The sequence below is a fragment of the Homo sapiens genome, chromosome 9, assembly GCF_000001405.40.
Source record: "Homo sapiens chromosome 9, GRCh38.p14 Primary Assembly".
In the NCBI taxonomy this organism is placed as follows: Eukaryota; Metazoa; Chordata; class Mammalia; order Primates; family Hominidae; genus Homo; species Homo sapiens.
In genome coordinates this window covers 137,715,820-137,739,404 of record NC_000009.12, presented here as the reverse complement: position 1 = coordinate 137,739,404, position 23,585 = coordinate 137,715,820, and the positions used below count along the sequence as shown (strand labels likewise).

Genomic DNA, 23,585 nt, shown 5'->3' with positions numbered 1-23,585 from the left:
ACTGCTTTATGACCTAAGTTTACTTTTTCTTTCTTTTTTTTTTTTTTTTGAGACTGAGTCTGGCTCTGTTGCCCAGGCTGGAGTGCATTGGTGCGATCTCCGCTCACTGCAAGCTCCGCCTCCTGGGTTCACGCCATTCTCCTGCCTCAGCCTCCTGAGTACCTGGGCCACCACGCCCGGCTAATTTTTCTATTTTTAGTAGAGACGAGGTTTCACCGTGTTAGCCAGGATGGTCTCGATCTCCTGACCTTGTGATCTGCCTGCTTCGGCCTCCCAAAGTGCTGGGATTACAGGCATGAGCCACCGCGCCCGGCCTGTTTTTTTTTTTTTTACTAGTAAAATACACACACCACAAAATTTACCATCTTCATCATCTTTAAGTGCACGGTTCCATGGTATTAAATACATTCAGAATGTTGTGCAACTATCACCCCTATCTACCTCCACAACTCTTTCCATCTTGTCAAACTGAAGCTCTGTTCCCATTAAGCCCTAACTCTCCATTCCCTTCCTCCAGCCCCAGACTCCAGCCCCTTCTACTCTTTCTGTGTCCATCAGTTGGACGACTCTAGGGACCTCCTTTAAGTGGAATGGTACAACATTTGTTCTTTTGTGGCTGACTTACTTCATTCGGCACAGTGTCCCCGAGGCTCATCCACGCTGCAGCGCGGGCCCCAGCTTCGCTGCTTCTCAGGCTGAGTCACACGTCACTGCGTTTTGCACACGACACTTTGCTGATCCGTTCGCCCGACAGCCGACCCTCGGGTGGCTTCCCCCTTTTGGCTGCTGTGGTTGATGCTGCTATCAACGTGGGTGTACAAGCATCTCTTCAAGACCCTGCTTTCAGTGCTGCTGGGGCACGTGCCCAGCAGTGGAACTGCTGGATCACATGGTAGTTCCACACTTAGTTTTTTGAGTTTTTCACAGCAGATGCACCGTTTCACTTCCTACCAGCAGTGCACAAGGGTTCCCATTTCTCCGCATCCTCACTGATATGTGCCATTTTCTGTTTTGATAGTTGCTGTCCTCAACAGGTGTACGGTGGTATCTCACTGTGGTTTTGATTTGCATTTACCTTATGATTAGTGACGTTGAGCATCTTTTCATGGGCTTACTGGCCATTTGTGCATCTTCTTTGAATAAACGTCTATTCCAGTCCTTTGCCTTTTTTGGGTTTTTTTTGTTGTTTTTTTTTTGTTGTTGTTTTTTTTGAGACAGAGTCTCACTCTGTCACCCAGGCTGGAGTGCAGTGGTCCGATCTCGGCTCACTGCAACCTCTACCACTCGGGTTCAAGTGATTCTCCTGCCTCAGCCTCCCAAGTACCTGGGACCACAGGCATGCACCACTATGCCCAGCTAACTTTTGTATTTGTAGTAGAGATGGGGTTTCACTATGTTGGCTCGGCTCGTCTGGAACTCCTGACCTCAGGTGATCTGCCTGCCTCGGCCTCCCAAAGTGCTGAGATTACAGGCGCAAGCCACTGCACCCGGCCTCCTTTGCTGATTTTTTAATCAAGTTGTTTTTATTGTTGAGTTGTGGGATTTTTTTTGTATATTTTGGGTAGTAATTCCTCATCAGACATAGGATTTGCAGATATTTTCTCCTACTCCACAGGTGCCTTTTTATTCCGTTAACAGTGTCTTTTCTTTACGACTAGCCAAGTGCAGCAGTAAGAAGCAGGGAAACAGGGAAACAAGGAGATAGAAAGCTTTGTGCATCAAAAGACACCAAGTCTCATCAAACCCAGTGTGTCTCCTTTTTTTTTGTTACCTACACTTTTGGTGTCATGTCCAAGAAATCACTGCCAAATCCAAGGTTGTGGAGCCTTTGTCCTATGTTTTCTTCTCAGAATTTTATATGTTTAGGTCTTACATTTAGGTCCTGGACCTGTCTTAGGCTAACTTCTGCATATGGTGTGAGGTAAGGGTCCAGTATCACTCTTCTGCATGTGGATATCCAGTCTTCCCCGCACCATTTGTTGGAAAGCTGTCCTTTCCCCCGTTGAATGGTCTTGGCACTCTTGTCAAAAATCAACTGATCATATAACACAAAGGTTTATTTCTGTGCTCTCTGTTCTAGCCCACTGGCCTATATGTCTGTCTTTATGCTGGAATAACACTGTTTTGAGTACTATAGCTTTGTAGTAAGTTTTGAATCTCTGTCTTTTTCCACATATACATATATTATTTTTTAAGACAGTGTCTCACTCTGTCACCTAGGCTAAAGTGCAGTGATACAATCATGGCTCACTGCAGCCTCGACCTTCTGGGCTCCAGCAATCCTCCCACCTCAGCCTCTGGGGCTCTGGAGTAGCTGGAACCACAGGCACTTGCCACCATGCCTGGCTAATTTTTGTATTTTTTTTAAGAGACAGGGTTTTGCTATGTTGCCCAGGCCGCTCTGGAACTCCTGAGCTCAAGTGACCAGCTCACCGTGGCCTCTCAAAGTGCATGGATGACAGGCTTGAGCCACCACACCCAGCCAAATCTCTGTATATATTTTTCTTTTTTTTTGAGACACAGGCTCACTCTGTCACCCAGGCTGGAGTGCAGTGGTATGATCTTGGCTCACTGCAACCTCCACCTCCCAGGTTCAAGTAATTCTCGTGCCTCGGCCTCCCAAGTATCTGGGATTACAGGGACGTGCCACCACGCCCAGCTAATTTTTGTATTTTTAGTAGAGATGGGGTTTCACCATGTTGGCCAGGCTGGTCTCGAACTCCTGACCTCAAGTGATCCACCCACGTCAGCCTCCCAAAGTACTGGGATTACAGGCGTGCGCCATCGCGCCCGGCTCAAATCTCTGTATTTTAAAATCAACATTGAGACTTATTTGTGGCCTAACATATGGTCGATCCTAGAAAGTCTTCCAGGTGCACTTGAGAAGAGTGTACATGCTGCTGTTGGGCAGAGTGCTCTGTATGTCTGCTAAATCTAGTTGGCTTATGGTGTTTAGTCCTCCATTTCCTTTCTTATTTGCTATATGGTTATTCTATCCATTATTGATAAGTGGATACTGAGGTCTCCAACTATTAATGTAGAATTGTCTATGTCTCCCTTCAATTCTATCAGTTTTACTTCTTGTATCTTGATAGTCTATCATTCGTTGGGTATGTAAATGTTTACCCAGGTAATTGTTATACCTTCTTATTGTATTGAAACTTTTATTACTATATATTGTCCTTCTTAGTCTCTTGTAACCTTTTTTTATTTAAAAAGAAATAAATTTTTATTTTTAAATTTTGTCTGATAGCCACCTTGCTCTCTTTGGTTACTGTTTGCATGGAATATCTTTTTTCATCCTTTCACTTTCAATCTATTTCTGTCTTTGGATCTAAGGTGGGTCTCTTATAGACAGCATGTAGTAGGATCATCTGTTTTTTTTCTCTTGATGCATCTGCCTTTGTCCATTTAGTGTTGCCATAAAAGATAAAGAGATTTGTCTCCTGAGTCTGGTGGCTGGAAAGTTTAATATTGAGCAGGTACACCTGGTAGGGCTTCATGCTCTGGCTCATGGTGGAAATTGGAAAGGGAGCAGGCATGTGCAAGCGATCACATGGTGAGAGAAGAAGGAAGAGACAGAGAAACCAAGGAAGCCAGATTCTTTCAAACACCTCACTCTCAAGGCAACTAAGAGCGAGAATTCACTCACCTGGAGGGAGGGCACTGATCTATTCATGAGGAATCCACACACATGACCAATCACCTCAAGCTAGGCCCCACCTCACAACACTGCCATATTGGGGATCTCATTTCAACATGAGCTTTGGTGTGGACAAACCACATCCAAACCATAGCACTGCCAATCTTCGTCTTTTGATTGGAAATCTTCATCTGTTTACATTTAAAACAACTATTGATGAGGATTTACTTCTGTCATTTTGCTATGTTTGCTACACGTATTATAGCTTTTTTCGTCCCTCATTTCTTGCACTACTGTCTTCTTTTATATTTAGTTGATTTTTTATAGTGGAATGTTTAAATTCTTTTCTCATTTCCTTTTGTGTATGTTCTATAGCTATTTTCTTTGTGGTTACCATGGGGATTACATTTAACATCCTAAAGTAATAACATTCTAATTTAAATTTATGCCAGCTTAACTTCAGTAACACAGAAAAACTCTGCTCCTTTACATATCTGTTCCCACCCCTTTCATTTGCTGATGTCACAAAACTACATCTTTATTCATGCTGTGCCCCAAAACATAAACAATTCGTTTAAATGCATTAGTCTCTTGTTATGTAGGAAAAATGTGGAGTTACAAACCAAAGTTGCAATGATACTAGCTTGCAGACTAATTTTTTAAACGGATTTGTCTCTTAGATCTTACAGAAAACAAAAAGTGGAGGTACAAACCACTGTTACAATACTAGCTTTTATAACTGCCCATGTCTTTACTTCTCCATATGGCTTCAAGTTACTGTCTAGTGTTCTTTCTTTTCAACCTGCTAGGCTCCTTTAAGTATTTCTTGCAGGTCCAGGTCAGGTGGTAACAAATTCCCTCAGCTTTTGTTTATCTGAGAATATCTTAATTTCTTCTGCACTCTTAAAGGACAGTTTCCATGGATATGGATACTTGGTTGAAAGATTTTTTTATCACTCTTAATATACCGGTGATATATTCTGTCCCCCAAAGTTTCTGATGAGAAACCTGCCAATGATCTCACTGAGGAAACGTGTATGTGATGAGTCTCTTTTCTCATCTGCTTTCAAGATTCTCTTTGTCTTTCTACAGAAGTGTCTCAAGTATAACGTGTCTACTGTGGGTCTCTTTGAGTTCATCTTACTGGAGTTCACCAGGTTCCCTGGGTGTTTATACTCATGGGTTTCATCAGATATTCTCTCCACCCTTTTCTTACTCTCTTCTTCCTGGACTCCCACAATCCCTGTTTGGTCCTCCTGATGATGCCCACAGGTCCCCAGGCTCTGCTCACTTCCCTTCAGTCTTGTTGTTTGCTTCTCAAACTTGATTATTTTCACTGTCCTATCTTCAAGTTTGCTATCTCTTTCTTCCGTCTGTTCAGATCTGCCTTTGATTTCCTCTAGTGAATTTTTCATTTCACTTATTATACTTTTTAGCTCCAGAATTTCTTTTGGTTCCTTTTTACGTTTTCTAGCTCTTTATTGGTATTTCCATTTTGATCATACATCATTTTCTTGACTCTCTCCATACCTTCCTTTAGGATCTGACCATATCTAAGACAGTTACTTTAAAGTCTTTGTCTGGTGGATCTGGCATCAGATCTTTTCTGGGAACAGTTTCTGTTGACTTATTTTTGCATCTGATTGGGCCATACCTTCCTGTTTCTTTGTATGCCTTGTAGTTCTATGCTGAAAACTGGACATTTGAATCCAATAATGTAGAAACTCTGAAAAGCTGATTCTCCTCCTTTTCCAGGGTGTACTGTTTTGTTGCTGTTACTGGTTTTGGGGTGTTTTTGTTGTTGTCATTTTTTATAGTTGTAGGCTGTCTCTGTGAGGAGGGTGAGCCTGAGATTTAAACTTAAGGTCTTTTCATGTCTTCCCTTAGCCTGTGCCTTTCCCTGGGCACATGCAGTCACTTTATAATTTACCCCATATACACAGTTGCTTCTGAATATCCTAGTCTTTAATGTCTGGCTCCCAAAAGGAGAAAACAATAAAAATGAAGTGGGGAGATAAAAAGAGCACTGGCCCTTTAGATTTCTTGGCCGTCACATGGAAGAAAGGCTTACAACCGGATGAGAGGGCCTCTCTGTATGCACCTGGGGACAAGGTCCTCTTTGCTCACCCTGGCTCCCACAAGCTGCACGCACACTGTTCCAGGAACACCGCACACCCTGCACCACAGGGCTGAGGAAGGCAGTGGGCAGCAGAGCTGAAACTGACTGAAATTAACCGTCCCAGCTTCCCGCCTAGAAGTTGCAAACCTTCAGTAGACTCCAGAGTTCCAAAATAGTTACATCAGACAGATTCTGCCAGTGGAACTGTTGTCTAGGTGAGGAGATGAATTCCTGGTCTTCCTGCCCCACTATCTTTCTAGAACCCTCTGAAATCAGTTTTTGGTACTGCGAGGATTGTTTTTAAATTGTGAACCGCTACACGTGGGAAAGATACAGAACAAGCTGCTAACAAAGATGCCAGTCCACTCTGTAAAAAGAAGGAATGCTCACCTAAAACAATGCTGGGTGCCTGAGATCCTGATTCAGCACGGCCATCCCCAGCCTGGGGCTGTCACATAAACGCATGTTCTCAACCTTCTTGCACAGCACAGATCTTTCATTTCTGATACTACAGGGTGGAGGGTGCAGAACAGGTCGAAGAGAATCACAGCCACCCTCCATCTAAAACTAAGAATTACAGCTGCCCATGGGAACAAGCTACCACACACGGGCTCTGCTATGACTTCAGGAGTACAATGCACGTTGAAACCAACATGTGACTCTGCTCTTCTTTCCTGCCTGTGGTAAACTTAAGGGGGTAGCAGGAGGGAAAGAGCAGAACCATCTGTGATCATCGCCACAGTAATTAAAAATTAACAGAAAGACGTGACAAGAAATCTCAGCCTTTCTTTGATAACCTGGCTCCAACACCCCTCCCACAGGGAGGCAACAATGAATGGCAGGCAATGGAGTGACAGTTGAAGAAATAAAAGTGATAATGGCAGACAAATTCCTAGGCAGATAGGAGCAGGTCCCCGGTGAAACCTGACCTTCAAGCCAAAGGCCGCCTGAAGCCTGAAAACCGGGCTGCCAGTTCCCGGCAGAATCCACAACCTGGAGTGAGAACTTCCTTGATGCCTTTTAGCCAATCAAATGGTGTTTTTTCCAGACCTACCCATGGACCAATCAGCATGCACTTCATGCACTTCCTCCATTCTGAGCCCACATAAACCCCCAGACTCAGCCACACAACAGGACTGCCTCCCTGCCAGTAGGAGCTACTGACTTTGGGTCTCCTCTCCGCTGAGAGCTGTTCTGCTGCTCAATAAAACTCTTCTCCACCTTGCTCCCCTCCAGTTGTCCATGTAACCTCATTCTTCCTGGACCCAAGACAAGAACTCGGGACCCACGCAACAGCGGGTGCAAAAAGGGCTGTAACATGTTCCTGGCCGGTTCACTGAGCTGCAGGCAGTGACACGCTCCCGTTCGCTGAACTGCGGGAGTGAAGAGCGGTGATCCTTCTGGGGACCCAAACCTTGGGATTCCTCAAGCCAGAGCTGTAACACTGTAGCCCTCCTGCCCTCCGCTGGTGTCGGCGGCTGCCCCGTGTGATGGCAAGCAGCAGTGGAGCCAGGCCAGCCTGGGAGCTGCAGGCCAGGGCGAAAGCGGCAGAACTGAACGAGCTGGGAACACACCCCAGCCCGTACTGTGGGTGGTGACAGCAAGAGAGCTATAGCACACTCTCCCACCCTATCCCCTTGGGGCTCTGCAGTTGCTGGTGACTCCGAGTTTTGGGGCACCACCGTGTTCCCCTCATCTAGACGCCAGCGCCTGCAGTGTAAACTGCTTGTGGTATGCCTCATCCAGCCACAGCTCTGCACAGAGCCAGAGCCTGGAGCTGCCTGCCCCACCACAGCAGCCAAGCAGGCCTGGCTGTGCACAGTGGCCCCACACCATGCTTGCTCGTCAACACACGCCTCGCTGCTCCACTCCTGGCTTGCCCTCGGAAGGTGTGGGATCTGGGCCGGTAGCATGAGCCAAGTACAGCCTGCTGGGCCGAGTGGGCAGAATGAGCCCAGCAGGTGCAAGTGAAACTCAAGCAGAGGCGCCGCTGGCTGCAGAGGTTTATGACCAGCAAAGGGACACTCAAGGGATCCTGTGACAACAGGATAGGACGTACCCCGATTCCTGCTCTGTATGGACACTGTTGTAAAAGGCCTTTGTCTCTCTCTGCCATCCCGATAAGTGGACTCTGCACCCCCGGGGACAGTTAACAGGGGACTCCTCCATCTGCACTCCTGTCTTTCCAGCCATGTTGAAAGGTGCACTGATGACCATCACAAGACAAGGCAGCTGGGCATGCCATGCTCCTCTCTAGTTAACACGTTCTAGCACAGAAACTGTAACTTCTGTGCCCACTCCGGAAGCCCTGGGGTGACAACACACGGGAGCAGCTGAGGCTGAGGGAGTATCTTAACCACTGGACCACAGCAGGCAGCTAACTGCCGAGCACATCTCCTCCAGTGCTCAAGGCCATTTTACACACTGTCCTAGGCTAACACGCTGATGGACCACCCACTTCCAGGTTACGGATAAGGAAGGGGTGGTGGAGGAAGGGGGCTGTGGAAGGGTAAACTGGAGCCTGCTAAACACGCTGGGTAGTTTGTTTTTAGAAAGCTCTTTTTAAAAGATGGCGATATAATAAAGCTAAAATAGGAAAAGAAAATCTCAACACTTTAACAACTCTTCAGACATTACTTTTAAGTCCTCACATACGTGAGCATAACTCCATAGTTTTGCAAAACACCAAGTTTAACTGTTTCAAACAAATAAAATTACGTCAAATAGCAAAAAAAGTTGGTAAGTTGATGGTGAGGGGAACAGATAATGACTGATTTTGTTTTCTAACTTCCAATGAAAAGAACCAGGGCTCCCTGGAGAAAGCCGATTCCGGCCCTGGGAAGGGACAAGGCAAGGTAAGCAGACCATCCAGTGAATGGGGAAGGTCTTCCTGAAGAGGTGCCCACGCCCCAGGACTCAGAACCAGCCTAGGGGGACCCCACTGGACAAACTTGGGACAATGTGAGCAACAAAATAAATAATGATAGGAATGGATTACAGTCCAGAGACTCAAATAAGAGTCCGTAAATTAGTACTTAAAAACAGACAGACAGGCTGGGGGCGGTGGCCCACGCCTGTAATCCTAGCACTTTGGGAGGCCAAGTCAGGAGGACTGCTTGAGCCCACGAGTTCAAGACCAGCCTGGGCAACATAGCGAGACCCCCATCTCTATTTTTTTTTTAAGTTTTTTTTTTTGTAAAGTAAATGGACAGATAACTGTGTGGACGGACAGGAAAGTGAAGCACCTCCTTACAGCAGAAACTGAAATAATCAAGAGAGGAAATGATGGAGTTAGAAAACCACCATTTGGCACCCACCGTGCAGTACTAGCTAAGCGTGGGCCATGGCAGATGCTGAAGACCCTGGTGGGATGTGATGGGAGGTACATGCAGCACCTTAGGGTCTCTCCCTGCAAGACATGCTTGCAGTCTGGTGAGCAGTAACTTGAAGATGGACAAAAAACCACCACAATTCAATTCCTAAGGACACTTGTCAGTCACCTGCGTCGCTCCACGACCTGCACACAATCCTGGGAAACACTGGGCAAACCCACATCAGACACATTCTATGAAAGACCTGGCCTGTACTCAAAACACCACGGTTCAGAAAGACAAAGAAGGCTGAGAATGGTTCAGATTAAAGGAAACTAGCAAGACACAACAACTAGGTGCTCGAAGCTCTAGAACCAGATTTTATTTGTCCTTTGCCCTAAAAGACAGTCGGGAATGGGAAATGCGGAACAGGACACTGAGATTAGAGAGCGGCGTCGCGGTATACTTCCTCACCGGGATGTCTGTGCTGTAGTCATCTAAGAGAATGTCTTTATGTTGAGGGACAGTAATTTTAGGAAATAACATTAGTTTTCAGGGATAAAAGGGCACAATGTTTACAACTTACATTCATGTCTCAGAAAAAAAAGTAATACATGGGGGGGCCGGGGGCGAGATTGTGCCATGTGGTGAAATGAATAAAGGGTACACAGGACTTATTCGTAGAATTTTGCAACTTTGCTGGAGGTCTGAAAATACTTAAATTAAAAAAAATTTTTTTTTTTTTGAGATGGAGTCTTGCTCTGTCGCCCAGGCTGGGGTGCAGTGGCATGATGTTGGCTCACAGCAACCTCCGCCTCCCGGGTTCACGCCATTCTCCTGCCTCAGCCTCCCAAGAAGCTGGGACTACAGGCGCCCGCCACCATGCCCGGCTAATTTTTTTATTTTTAGTATAGACGGGGTTTCACCGTGTTAGCCAGGATGGTCTCGATCTCCTGATCTCGTGATCCACCCGCCTTGGCCTCCCAAAGTGCTGGGATTACAGGCGTGAGCCACCGTGCCTGGCCAATAAAAAGTATTTTTAAAGTCCAGAAAAAGACAGACACCTGTGGCCAGGTGATCATCCCCAAGTGAAGCCTTGCCAGCAGCAGCAGCATTCACGAGGGCCGGCTGACCTCCCAGCATTCACGAGGGCTGGCAGGAAGGGCCTTGCATCTCTTCAGGACAGCGCCAAACGCACACATCCCATCCCAGAAGCTGAGGAGGTTTGAAAGCCCAGGGAGCCCTGACGCAGCGCTCACTCTGAGGTCCCGGTGCCCTCCCAGCACCTCCCACAAAAGGTCCCCGGTAAGGAATCAAACGTTCATCCACTCCCGGAACTGGCCATAGAAGCAGCCAGCCCAGGAGAGTGAGGAGCACGCCTGGAGCGAGGTGGCTGGTGGCAGAGCAGCTGGAGCGGGCGGTGGTCCTCACCCTGGGCCACAGACTTCCCCAGCACACCCCAGCATTTCCAAAGGCACTCCACCTACAAACCAGGAAAGCTTCCAACTCCAGGGTCTTCTCCCCACATAGACCAAGTGAGTCACATACTAGTAAAGAAAACAGTCTTCATCTTGAGAATGTTAACAAGCTAGGAAATCAATGCTGGCATGAGACAAGGCTTAGAGCAGAGGTCAGGTGTGCCTCCTCAGGCATACAGGCGAGCACAGGAGGGCCAGCTGACGTCAACAGTCATTCATCAAGAGCAGCACAGGCACTTACAGCCAAACAGAACTCTCACCTGGCAAGGGGCAGGCTCGAAACATACATTCAAAGAGCAGAGACAGTTGCCGGGTCCTCTTTACCTGTCTGTGATTTTGTGGTGGCCATGTAGCACTGGTTCTGAGGTAGCGACTGATGAAGGGATGGGAAGGGGGGTAAAAGCTGCTGTCGTCCAAAGTCAGAAATGTTTTTGTTGATCTCCTCTTTTGGTTCCTTATGATCTCTAGCTTCTCGAACTTCTCTGGGATCTTTACTGGCTGCATGCTTCAAAACAAAGACAGTGAATAACTATAACTGCATAAGCAGGTGGTCACTGAAATAACATGCAACCAAAATCACAGTTCTTCTCCCCGATAATTCCCCACAACCGAAAGATGAGATACAATGGAGAGAGGAGAAAGTCTGCAAGCGGAAACAGCACAGCTGTCCTCACGTGTGCCTAGTTGCCCCTCAGATGGGTTAGGTCAGCATCTACAAACCATGGCCCAAGCTAAGAACAGCATTTACAGGGCTAAAGGCCAGAAGGAGGAATGAGCAGGAGGGAGGAGGAACAGTGACCACATGTGGTCCACAAAACCTGAAACATTTTCTAGCTGGTTCTTTGCAGAAAAAAATGTTCCAACCCCTGACTTAGATAATACACTTACTAAGCTAAAAAATACCCAAAATGGGCAGCATCAAAACCTCTCAAAACCTGCTTTCCCAGTTTACCATGGCTACAGTTTGCAACATCCCCAAATGGCATTTATCCCACAGTAGGTAACTATGTTGTGTGTTAAAATGGTATTTTACTCAGTCTCAGTGATCTCCTAAATCTGCCTTTAGTCTCAGCCTGCAGGGCAAGGCTGTGATACCAACAGCAAACTCCCAGTACCTCCTTCATTGCAGAATGCACAGACACAACTGAACCTCCACTCTCTGTCTGCTTCCCTCGTCACCTACAGACCTGTGATAGTTTAACTTCAAATCTAATTCAACTGAACCACACTTTACTGTGCACATAGTGGGTGCAATACACAGTAAAATACACAGTAAAAATACACAGTAAAAAGTGTTAAACGACAGGGCATTCTTCAGGAAATGGTACCGGGAGAACTGAATGACCACATGAAAAAGAATGAAGCTGGACCCTTTTCTAAACCATATAAAAAAATTAACCCAAGATGGACCACAGTCCTAACTGCAAAACCTAAAAGTATAAAACTCAGGAGGAAACCGGGGAAGCTTCCCAACATTGGATCTGGCAGTTATTTTCTAGACGTGAAACCAAAAGTACAGGCAACAGAAGAAAAAAATAGACAAACTGGACTTAATCAAAGTTAAAATTTCTGGGCCAGGTGTGGTGTGTCACACCTGTAATTCCAGCACTTTGGGAGGCCAAGGGGGAAAGATCACTTGAGGCCAGGAGTTCAAGATGAGTCTGGGCAACATAGCAAGACCCTGTCTCTACAAAGAAAAATTTACAAAAATTAAAATTTATGTGCATCAAAGGACATAGTTAACAGTGAAAAAGCAGGTTATGGAATGGAGAAAACATCTGCAAATCCATCAGGAATTATTATCCAGAATACATGAAAAAGTCTTACAACTCAACAATAAAAAACCACCAGAATAAAAAATGGGCAAAGGACCTGAACAGACATTTCTTCAAGGAAGACATACAAATGGCTAATGAGCACATGAGAAGATGCTTACCCTCATCAGGGAAATGCATATCAAAACCACGGTGAGTACCATTCACACACTAGGATGGCTACTATGAAAAAAGAATGCTTAACATCATTGGGGAAATGCATATGGAAACCACAGTGAGCAGCATGGATGGCTACTAGGAAAGAACAGAAAATCGTGTTGTGAGAACTGGAGAAATGGGAACCCTTGTGCACTGCTGGTAGGAAGTGAAACGGTGCATCCGCTGTGGAAAACTCAAAAAGCTAAGTGTGGAACTACCATGTGATCCAGCAGTTCCACTGCTGGGCACGTGCCCCAGCAGCACTGAAAGCAGGGTCTTGAAGAGATGCTTGTACACCCACGTTGATAGCAGCATCAACCACAGCAGCCAAAAGGGGGAAGCCACCCGAGGGTCGGCTGTCGGGCGAACGGATCAGCAAAGTGTCGTGTGCAAAACGCAGTGACGTGTGACTCAGCCTGAGAAGCAGCGAAGCTGGGGCCCGCGCTGCAGCGTGGATGAGCCTCGGGGACACTGTGCCGAATGAAGTAAGTCAGCCACAAAAGAACAAACGTTGTACCATTCCACTTACAGGAGGTCCCTAGAGTCGTCCAACTGATGGACACAGAAAGTAGAATGGTATTGCCAGGGACTGGGAGAGAGGAATGGGAAGTCAGTGTTTAAAGGAGACAGAGCTTCAGTGTGGGAAGATGAAGAGGTTCCAGAGACGGAGGGTGGCGATGGCTGCACGGCAGCGTGAATGTGCTTAATGCCACTGAGCTGTTTACTTAAAAATGGTTAAGTTTGATATTATGTGTTTTACCACGCACATACGCACACACACACACACACACACGACAAGGCACCTGCATCAACTATAGTCAAGGCCAGGGAGAAGTAACCAAGGTCATAAGTAACTCAAAGTGCTCGGTGGGTCCATGACATGGGTGAACATGTGGCTGCAGAGACAGCTCTGAGGGATTCAGGAGGTGCTTGTGGAGGTTACAGGTGAGGCAGGGAGGCAGAGCGAGAGTTCCAGGCAAGAGCACACGGAGGAGAACAGGGTAGCACCTGGCTTGGCTGGGAGATGAGAGGGGTGTGCCAGGGCGAGCTGGAAGGCACAGGGGAGCGAGTACTCTTGGGGCTGGCTCTCACGGCCTCACGGTCTCCACCTCTCTCTGTCTCACAGGCGCACTCTGTCTGTGTCTGTTTCCCTCCCTCCTTGCCTCTCTGTCTCTCGAGCGCATCTTGCTGCCATGTGGTCCTTGCAAAGCTTCTCAGTGAGCCCACACTAAACTGCCAGACACCCCACTGATGTCCAGAACAGACATAGAACGACCTGGGCTCCCTACTGCGGAACCTACCCTGGATTCACATTCTAGTGGCCACAGCTCCCTGGAGTTTTTTGTTGCTTCTCCCTGTGGAGACCTGTCCAGCTCAGCAACCCTGTGTGCCACATTCAGTGATTCCTCTTGGAATGTACCTCCACCTCTGGGATGCCCTTACTTTTTCCCCGAGGGATGAATGCTCTCCTTCCTCCTTCAAAGCACAGCTCAGACATGACAGCTCCTCCTGCCATGTCCACTAATGAAGGCACCTCACACACGGAACACTGAAAGCCCCACGAAGGCCACATGTCTGCCACACGAAGGCCACACGTCTGCCCAACGAATGCCACACGAAGGCCACATGTCTGCCCCACATCTGCCCCACGAATGCCACATACCTGCCCCACGAAGGCCACACACCTGCCCCACGTCTGACATGCCTGCCACACGAATGCCACACGCCTGCCACACACCTGCCACAAGAATGCCCCATGAATGCCACACGCCTGCCCCAGGAATGCCACACGCCTGCCCATGAATGCCACACAAATGCCACACGCCTGCCCCACGAATGCCCCACGAAGGCCACACGCCTGCCCCATGTGACACGCCTGCCACACTAATGCCACACGTCTGCCACACGAATGCCCCATGAATGCCACACGCCTGCCCCACGAATGCCACAAGCCTGCCACACGAATGCCCAACGAATGCCACATCTGTCCCACGAATGCCACACGTCTGCCCCACGAATGCCACACGTCTGCCACACGAATGCCACAAGTCTACCACACGAATGCCACACGTCTGCTGTATAACGTTTCTTGGTCTTTCTCCAGCACACCAGGTTTGACTGCAGTGAAGCCACTGTTAGAACTCAGGAGTCGGTCCCCCTTTATGTCACCTACAAACCACCGACCAGGCTGTTTGGCTCACGTGGCTCTCCCCTTCAGCTGGTGCTTACAAACACAAAATGCGCTTTCAAAGTACATATTGATGAAGGTACAAAAACAAAACCTGAAGAGAAAATAGCCATGTGAGGCTAATTCTTGCCGAGGTACACACACCTATTCTTTAATTTAAAAGGTTATTTTCAAGAATCTCAACAGTAAGACTAAGAATGGCTTAACTGAGGTGAGAATTCTAGATTTAGGTTTTGTTGGGACTCTTGTTACCTAACAAAGCACAAGGAAAGACCTAGCCATGGAGGCAGCACGGCCGGCCCATCCCATCTCCACAGGGCCTGGCTCTGGGAGGGCAGCCCTTCCCCGAGGCTCTTCCCTCCTGTGGGGGCGGGAGGCCCCTTCGCTGAGGCTCCTCCCTCCTGGCAGGGCGGGGGTGGGGCGGTGGGCTGTGCACCAGGGTGAGTCACACAGTAGGACACTTAGCAGCACTTCTTCACACAATTGCTAAGAACCACCTCCAGTGCAGACCAACAGGCACCACCTCTCTCCCAGCAACTAGAGCCTAGAGTGGGTACCAGGAGGTGAGGTGTGGAAACACACACACAGAGAGAAAAACAAGGGGCCCCATGCTGACGCCTCCTGGAGTGGGCACAATTTACAAGGAAATGGAGCTGCCAACCAGGTCACAGTAACAAGCATTTCCAGGTAGAAAAAAATGTTCCCTTCCGGCGACTTCCACTTTCTTTGCCCTAACAACAGTGAAGCTGCCAGTGAGCAGGCCTCGCTCTGAGCTGGGGCTTTATGATGGGGATTAACGCTGGATACAGGGTCCAAATCCCTTGGTTCTGGCCACGGGATCGTGAGACTGCAGCCGTGACAACACCTTCATGTTTAAACTTTTATGAGAATATTGGATTTATTAAAGCCTGCAACATTCGTTTTATCACTGGAATGACTTTTTAAAACGTAATTTTCAATAAATTGTGGCTTTAAAAAAATACCAAACAAGACTAAATTGGGTTTGGGGTGGCAGGAAATCCTGAAGGGTGGAGAGGCCACAGGCCCAGACAGACACGGGCACACCCCGGGCCACAGGCCCAGAACCACAGACACAGACACACCCCGAGCTCAGGCCCAGAACCACAGACACGGACACACCCCGGGCTCAGGCCCAGAACCACAGACACGGACACACCCCGGGCTCAGGCCCAGAACCACAGACACAGACACACCCCGGGCTCAGGCCCAGAACCACAGACACAGGGCACACCCCGGGCTCAGGCCCAGAACCACAGACACAGGGCACACCCCGGGCTCAGGCCCAGAACCACGGACACAGACACACCCCGGGCTCAGGCCCAGAACCACGGACACAGACACACCCCGGGCTCAGGCCCAGAACCACGGACACAGACACACCCCGGGCTCAGGCCCAGAACCACAGACACAGGCACACCCCGGGCTCAGGCCCAGAACCACGGACACAGGCACACCCCGGGCTCAGGCCCAGAACCACAGACACAGGCACACCCCGGACTCAGGCCCAGAACCACGGACACAGACACACCCCGGGCACAGGCCCAGAACCACGGACACAGACACACCCCGGGCTCAGGCCCAGAACCACAGACACAGACACACCCCCGGCTCAGGCCCAGAACCACAGACACAGACACACCCCGGGCTCAGGCCCAGAACCACAGACACAGACACACCCCGGGCTCAGGCCTAGAACCACAGACACAGACACACCCCCGGCTCAGGCCCAGAACCACAGACACAGACACACCCCGGGCTCAGGCCCAGAACCACAGACACAGACACACCCCGGGCTCAGGCCCAGAACCACAGACACAGAGCACACCCTGGGCACAGGGGGGCACCCACCTTCCCATAGTCTCTGCCACACCACCTCCGTGGGGCCCACAGATACAGAGCACACTCCGGGTGCAGGGCAGGCACCCTACCGCCACAGTCTCTGCCGCACCACCTCTGTGGGGCCCACACAGAGCATACCGGGGGCACAGGGGGGCACCCACCCACCCACAGTCTCTGCCGCACCACCTCCGTGGGGCCCAGAGACACAGAGCACACCGCAGGTGCAGGGCAGGCACCCTCCCACCCATAGTCTCTGCCGCACCACCTCCGTGGGGCCCACACACACAGCCCTGCCCTGGCTCAGTCCACCCCCTCCTTCTCCTGCAGACTCCCCCAGGAGCACAGCAAGTTCTCCAGGGTGCGGAGAGGCAGTGGAGAGTCTTCAGGAAACCAGGTTCCGAAGCCTCAAAACACTCAAGTTCTCTTTTCCTACAACAGACCAGCCTGTGAATGTTCACTAATTTTCAACCAAATGATGTGCTGTAATCAATTACACTTTAATTACTCAATCCAGAAAAAAGCGATCACTTAAATAAGCCTCATGGTCAGAGAATTTTCTAAAAATTTCAAATTGCTTTTTTTCCCTAAAGGAATGTAATAGGATGACAATAAAAGATCCTCACGAATAAAAATATATGAGAATAAAATCCTGGAAGTAGGACTGTAATAAAAGCATAACTTCAGAGAGACGAATGATGTACAGTTTCTAACGTGAGTTTTAAAACTGTGACTGGGGCGCCATCCACAGGCAAAAATAAATTCAACCTCAGCCCAAGCCTCAGACTTTATACAAACATTAACTCAAAATGGATCACAGATTTAAAGTTCACGTAAGACTGAAAAAAAAAAAAAATTAGAGAAATTGAGATCTAGGGCTAGGTGAAGAGTTATCACACACAACACCAACAGCACAATCCACAGGAGAAAACTGATAAACCGGACTTCATCAAAATGAAACACCTTTGCTCTGTGAAAGACCTTTTGAGAGAAAGAAGAGAAGCTTCAGACCAGCAGAAAATACTGGAAACCACATAGCTGACAAACACTCATATACAGAACTCTCAAAGCTAACAAAACAATGCAATCATAAAACGAGCAGAAGTCTGAAAGACATTTCACCAAAGATGACACACCGACAGCAAAGCAATGTGCAAGGGGATGAGCGTGAGAGGCGTGGAGGGAACAAGAGTGAGAGGCGTGGGAGAGGATGAGGGTGAGAGATGTAGGAGAGGGTGACGGTGAGAGGCGTGGGAGAGGGAGAGGATGAGAGGCGTGGGAGAAGGTGAGAGGCGTGGGAGAGGGTGAGAGGCGTGGGAGAGGGTGAGAGGCGTGTGAGAAGGTGAGAGGCGTGGGAGAGGGTGAGAGGCGTGGGAGAGGGTGAGAGGCGTGGGAGAGGGTGAGAGGCGTGGGAGAGGGTGAGAGGCGTGGGAGGGGGTGAGAGGCGTGGGAGGGGGTGAGGCGTGGGAGGGGGTGAGAGGGGAGGGGGTGAGTGTGAGAAGTCTGGGAGGGGTGAGTGTGAGAAGTCTGGGAGGGGGTGAGTGTGAGAAGTCTGGGAGGGGTGAGTGTGAGAAGTCTGGGAGGGGGCGAGTGTGAGAAGTCTGGGAGGGGTGAGTGTGAGAAGTCTGGGAGGGGTGAGTGTGAGAAGTCTGGGAGGGGGTGAGTGTGAGAAGTCTGGGAGGGGTGAGTGTGAGAAGTCTGGGAGAGGATGCTCCCCATCAGCAGTCACAGGGATACGCACGCTGAAGCCTCGAGGAAACACCAGCGCACCCAACAGAAGCGCTAAATAAAAAGTGGGTAAGAGCTAACGCTGGCGAGGACGCCGGCGAGGAGGGGAGAAAGGCGGCCACTGCAACATCGCCGGTGGGCGTGTGAAAGGCTGCAGCCACTCTGGAGTGTGGTTCAGCAATTTCCTCGTTCAATGAAACACCCGAAGGCCATAGAACCCAGTGATTATGCTCCTGTGTGTTTGACCCACAGAAGTAAATCTTACATCCAAAACGTGTACGTAAATGCCCCGAGCAGCTCTAAAGTAAAAATGCCCAGTGTCCTTCAGCGGGTGAGTGCCGACGTACAAGGCTGTCCACACCCCACAGAACACCAAGGCCTCAGCAGAGAACGGGACGGGCTAATGACGTAACTTGGATGATCTTAAGAGAACTATGCTGAGTGACAAAAGCTACTCTCAAAAGGTTACATACATTATAATTCCATTTATATAAAATCAGAAATAGGCCGGGCACGTTGGATCATGCCCATAATCCCAGCACTTTGGGATGCCGAGGAGGGCAGATCACTTGAGCTCAGGAATTCAAGACCAGCCTGGCCAACAAGACAATATCCCTTGTCTACAAAAATATAAAAATCAGCCGGGCAGGGTGGTGCACATCTGTAAACCCAGCTACTCAGGAGGCAGAGGCAGGAGGATGACTTCAGCCTGGGAGGCAGAGGTTGCAAAGAGCTGTGATCAGGCCACTGCAGTCCAGCCTGGGTGACAGAGTGAGATCCTGTCTTAAAAAAAAAAGAAATGACAAAATTATAAAAATGGAATCTGCAGATGAGAGGCTGGCACAGGTTCAGGTCTGGTTGGTGGCTACACAGGGTGACGTCAGGGACCCTGGTGTGGGGGGTTCCATATCTCGACTGTGCCCTGGTGTGAAGGGGGTTCGGCACCTCGACTGTGTCCTGGTGTGGAGGGGGTTCGGCACCTCGACTGTGCCCTGGTGTGGAGGGGGTTCGGCACCTCGACTGTGCCCTGGTGTGGAGGGGGTTCGGCACCTCGACTGTGCCCTGGTGTGGAGGAGGTTCGGCACCTCGACTGTGTCCTGGTGTGGAGGGGGTTCGGCACCTCGACTGTGTCCTGGTGTGGAGGGGGTTCGGCACCTCGACTGTGTCCTGGTGTGGAGGGGGTTCGGCACCTCGACTGTGTCCTGGTGTGGAGGGGGTTCGGCACCTCGACTGTGTCCTGGTGTGGAGGGGGTTCGGCACCTCATGTGTCCTGGTGTGGAGGGGGTTCGGCATCTCGACTGTAGTGGTGTTTCCACACATCCACACACGGTAAACTGCACAGAACACCCTGCACGTGATGCACGTGCACACAGGTGATGGTGAAACTGAGTAAGCCCCACGGACTTTACCAATGTCAGCATCCTGGGTCTGACATTGTCCTCTAGTTATCAAAGACATCACCACTGAAGGAAGCTTGGTGAAAGGTTTTTTTGCAGTTTCCTGTGACACTGTAATTATTTTTAAGATTTTCTAAAGCTTTGCCATGTACAGAAGAATACTGCAAAAGGTTGAGGTCGGGTCAGGCCGGCCAGCCTGGGAGTGGAGAAGCCCCAGGGCTAGGGCAGTTGTCCGCACCACGAGGTGCCCGCCTTATCTGTCCTAGGAGAGGACGCAACACCCAGCAGCTGTGGGCCCCTGAGGAGCCAGCAGTCCGGCCCACAACGCACCCACCACCCCCTGAGGAGCCAGCAGTCCAGCCCCACAGTGTGCCCACCACCCACTGTGGTCACTGCAGACAGGCCACAGAAAACGCACACAGCACTCATAGTCAGGCTGAGACACTATGACAGAAACAAAGATGGAGACACCCTGGTGGGGGAAAAAGCTAAATCTGAGAGGAAAAAAAAGTCACAAACAGGAGGTGTCAAGTCCAAGAGAACCCCCACTTGAGGAATCAGAATTTACAACAGAGATTATAGAAGAATTATAATCACCGTCTTTTGAAAGATAACGCAAGATAGAATTCAGTATTTTTTAAATTAAAAGAACTAATCAGGCCGGGCGCGGTGGCTCACACCTGTAATCCCAGCACTCTGGGAGGCCGAGGCGCATGGATCACCTGAGGTCAGTTCAAGAACAGCCTGGCCAACATGGTGAAACCTCATCTCTACTAAAAATACAAAAATTAGCCAGGTGTGGTGGTAGGCGCCTGTAGTCCCAGCTACTTGGGAGGCTGAAGCATGAGAATCACTTAAACCTGGGAGGCGGGGGTTATAGTGAGCTGAGATCGCGCCATTTCACTCTAACCTGGGTGACAGAGCAAGACTCCGTCTCAAAAAAAAAAAAAGAAAAAGAAAAAGAAAAAGAGAGAGAACTAATCAGAGATACTGGGCATGAAAAAAATTTATGTCAGAATAAAATATATCAATATATGGGATGAACAGCAAGAAGGGGAAGGGCTGAGGAACCAGTAAGGAAGCTGGAAACAGACAGAGAACTGCCCAGGAGGACAGAAGAGCCGGCCATTTAAGAGGAGCTCCATGGGAAGAAAACAGAAGAAAACTCATACAGAGCATCCTTCTGGAGCTGAAGACACAAATCCTCCAATTGACAGGGCTGTGAAGCCCTAAACAGTGGCTGAGGGGAAAGAGCAAACGATCTACAAACAAATGACAAGAAAGTGCTGTCAGAATGTTCACCAGCAATGTCAGAGAGAGAAAATTCCACGGGAATGTGATCACAAACCTAGAACTTACACCCAAATTCACATCAAACTGAGAGAGCACACTAAAAGCACCATGAACACTTTGAAAACCTGTATCGTGTATGCACCACGTAAGATCTGGTGATCAGTCCAGCACAGCATGTGTGAGAAGCACGCGTGCCCTGTGTGTGAAAATCAGCACGGTGCGCGTGAGGGGCGGGCGCGCCCTGTGTGTGAAAATCAGCACGGTGCGTGTGAGGGGCAGGCGCGCCCTGTGTGTGAAAATCATCACGGTGCGTGAGGGGCGGGCGCGCCCTGTGTGTGAAAATCATCACAGTGCGTGAGGGGTGGGCGCACCCTGCGTGTGAAAATCATGGTGCATGCGAGGGGTGGGCGCGCCCTGTGTGTGAAGCGCTCAGGATTCAAGACTCATTCTGCTCTCAAGGTACGGCTGAGCCCAGCAGCTCAGGGTTGGGAGGGAGACCTCGGCATGTCTCCAGGTGGCCCTTTGCCCCTCACTTCTGTGACATTCTGGCCCTAACCAAGTTCATTTCTATTCACTTCTCAATGAAACAGGGTCAGGGCTGAGTCTTCCCTAGCTGGAGTGAAAGCCCCAATGTCCAAAGCAGAAGAGGCCGTGGCCTCCTTGAAAGGATCTGACACGTTTCTACAGAGAGCAACAGAATCCTGTGAGAAGAGAAAGCACAAGAAGGAAGCGAGGCGTCACCTGGCATCACTCCGCTTTGTCACTCACGCACAAGGCATTAGCAGCATCTCTTTTTTTTTTTTTTTTTTTTTGAGACAGGGTCTCACTCTGGTGCCCAAGCTGGAGTGCAGTGAGGTGATCCGGGCTCACTGCAGTCTCCACCAGGCTCAAGCAATCCTCCCACCTCACACTCCTGAGTAGCTGGGACTACAGGTACGCACCACTATGCCCAGTTAATTTTTGCATTTTTTACAAAATTTTGCATTTGAGTTTCGCCACGCTGCCCAGGCTGGTCTCAAACTCCTAGGCTCAAGCAATCCACCCGCCTCAGCCTCCCAAAGTGCTGCGATAACAGCTGTAAGCCACTGCTCCCGGCCTTCTCCTAGCTCCTCATAGGCCCTGTCGGATAACCACTGACACTTACTGGCTTCTCCTCAATGCACCAAAGTCCATTTGCCGTTATTAAAACAAAAGAGATGGGAAAAAGGAAACAGCAAGAGAAGACACAAAATTACCAGGCCCACGACGGACTTCGGCATGGTCTTGCGTGCCCTGTGGACCTTGACGTCGGCGCCAGGGGCCGGGAGCTTCCTGTCCTCTGTGTCAGCACTCCCCTCCCCAAGGGTGGCTGGTGGGGCGGCTGGCGTCTGGGGAAAAGCGCTTGGAGTCCTGCCTTTGCCAGCCCCTCCAGGAAGGGTTTTTGCAGCATGGCCAGGCAGCGAAGAGGCCAGAGTGCTGGTAGTCCTCAAGGGCTGTGCCTGTAGGGCCGGCTTATTTAAGATGTATCCGTTGCTGCCGATGACAGAAGTCTGCACAAAGTCGTCGGCAGTGACGTGGTTTTGCTTCGCCGCTTCTGAGTCTCTTTCTGAAACCCCATTTTCCGCTATCCGAGTTAGTGTGTTGGTGCCATCCTGGGGGTTGACCCTTGCGCTGTCCTGAGTGTGCTTTGCAGCATTTGCATGACTGCTGGCATCGCTGTTTTCACAAGACCCATTGGTCTCACCGTCCGCAGCCATGTGGGCCTCTCCTGCCTGTTTCTCTGCTGAGCCTTCATCGGCAGCCATAGGTGTCTCTGCCAACAAAGAAACGAGTGTCACTGACTGCAGGCCACGCTCTCCATGGCACCACCACCACCACCACTTCCTCCCCCACCATGACACCACCACAACTTCCTCCCCCACCATGACACCACCACAACTTCCTCCCCCACCATGACACCAACACAACTTCCTCCCCCACCATGACACCAACACAACTTCCTCCCCCACCATGACACCAACACAACTTCCTCCCCCACCATGACACCAACACAACTTCCTCCCCCACCATGACACCACAACTTCCTCCCCCACCATGACACCACCACAACTTCCTCCCCCACCATGACACCACCACAACTTCCTCCCCCACCATGACACCACCACAACTTCCTCCCCCACCATGACACCACCACAACTTCCTCCCCCACCATGACACCAACACAACTTCCTCCCCCACCATGACACCACCACAACTTCCTCCCCCACCATGACACCACCACAACTTCCTCCCCCACCATGACACCAACACAACTTCCTCCCCCACCATGACACCACCACAACTTCCTCCCCCACCACGACACCACAATTTCCTCCCCCCACCATGACACCAACACAATTTCCTCCCCCTATGACACCACCACCAACACAATTTCTTTGGCTGGCTTATATAAAACTGTCTACAGAAAATTATTTTGTTTCATAGCAAACCAGCATTTCAGTTCAAACATATTAAACATAAACATTTCTTAAGCATTAACGTTGAACGTTAGTTGGTTAAGTTTGGGGAATCACTGCTATAATAAAACATGGAGTGTTATTTGGAGATAGAAAACAAGGC

At 49.6% G+C, this 23,585-nt stretch overlaps 1 protein-coding gene across 32 annotated transcripts in view, besides 4 other annotated features; it reads right to left on the bottom strand.

Annotated features, from left to right (window-relative positions):
• EHMT1 (euchromatic histone lysine methyltransferase 1) overlaps positions 1–23,585 on the bottom strand; it is a 217,123-nt gene that overhangs the window by 96,723 nt on the left and 96,815 nt on the right. For 31 of the 32 annotated variants that reach the window (XM_047423872.1, XM_047423875.1, XM_047423878.1 and 28 more), the window contains 2 exons: positions 22,223–22,779; positions 10,876–11,056 (listed from right to left, as the gene is read on the bottom strand). In XM_047423872.1, the coding sequence (XP_047279828.1) occupies positions 10,876–11,056; positions 22,223–22,779 (738 nt within the window). The other variant, XM_024447677.2, reaches the window with a different exon arrangement.
• Positions 1,066–1,325: an enhancer, noted in NCBI's record as "active region_29361". NCBI's record gives its function as "activates an Ori minimal core promoter by ATAC-STARR-seq in GM12878 lymphoblastoid cells {active_cell/tissue: GM12878}" and the evidence as "EXISTENCE:reporter gene assay evidence [ECO:0000049][PMID:35858748]".
• Positions 12,357–12,856: an enhancer, noted in NCBI's record as "H3K4me1 hESC enhancer chr9:140621001-140621500 (GRCh37/hg19 assembly coordinates)". NCBI's record gives its function as "activates a minimal SCP1, AML or CMV promoter by ChIP-STARR-seq in primed H9 embryonic stem cells {active_cell/tissue: H9 hESC(primed)}" and the evidence as "EXISTENCE:reporter gene assay evidence [ECO:0000049][PMID:30033119]".
• Positions 15,388–16,305: an enhancer, noted in NCBI's record as "H3K27ac-H3K4me1 hESC enhancer chr9:140617552-140618469 (GRCh37/hg19 assembly coordinates)". NCBI's record gives its function as "activates a minimal SCP1, AML or CMV promoter by ChIP-STARR-seq in naive H9 embryonic stem cells {active_cell/tissue: H9 hESC(naive)}" and the evidence as "EXISTENCE:reporter gene assay evidence [ECO:0000049][PMID:30033119]".
• Positions 16,306–17,224: an enhancer, noted in NCBI's record as "H3K27ac-H3K4me1 hESC enhancer chr9:140616633-140617551 (GRCh37/hg19 assembly coordinates)". NCBI's record gives its function as "activates a minimal SCP1, AML or CMV promoter by ChIP-STARR-seq in naive H9 embryonic stem cells {active_cell/tissue: H9 hESC(naive)}" and the evidence as "EXISTENCE:reporter gene assay evidence [ECO:0000049][PMID:30033119]".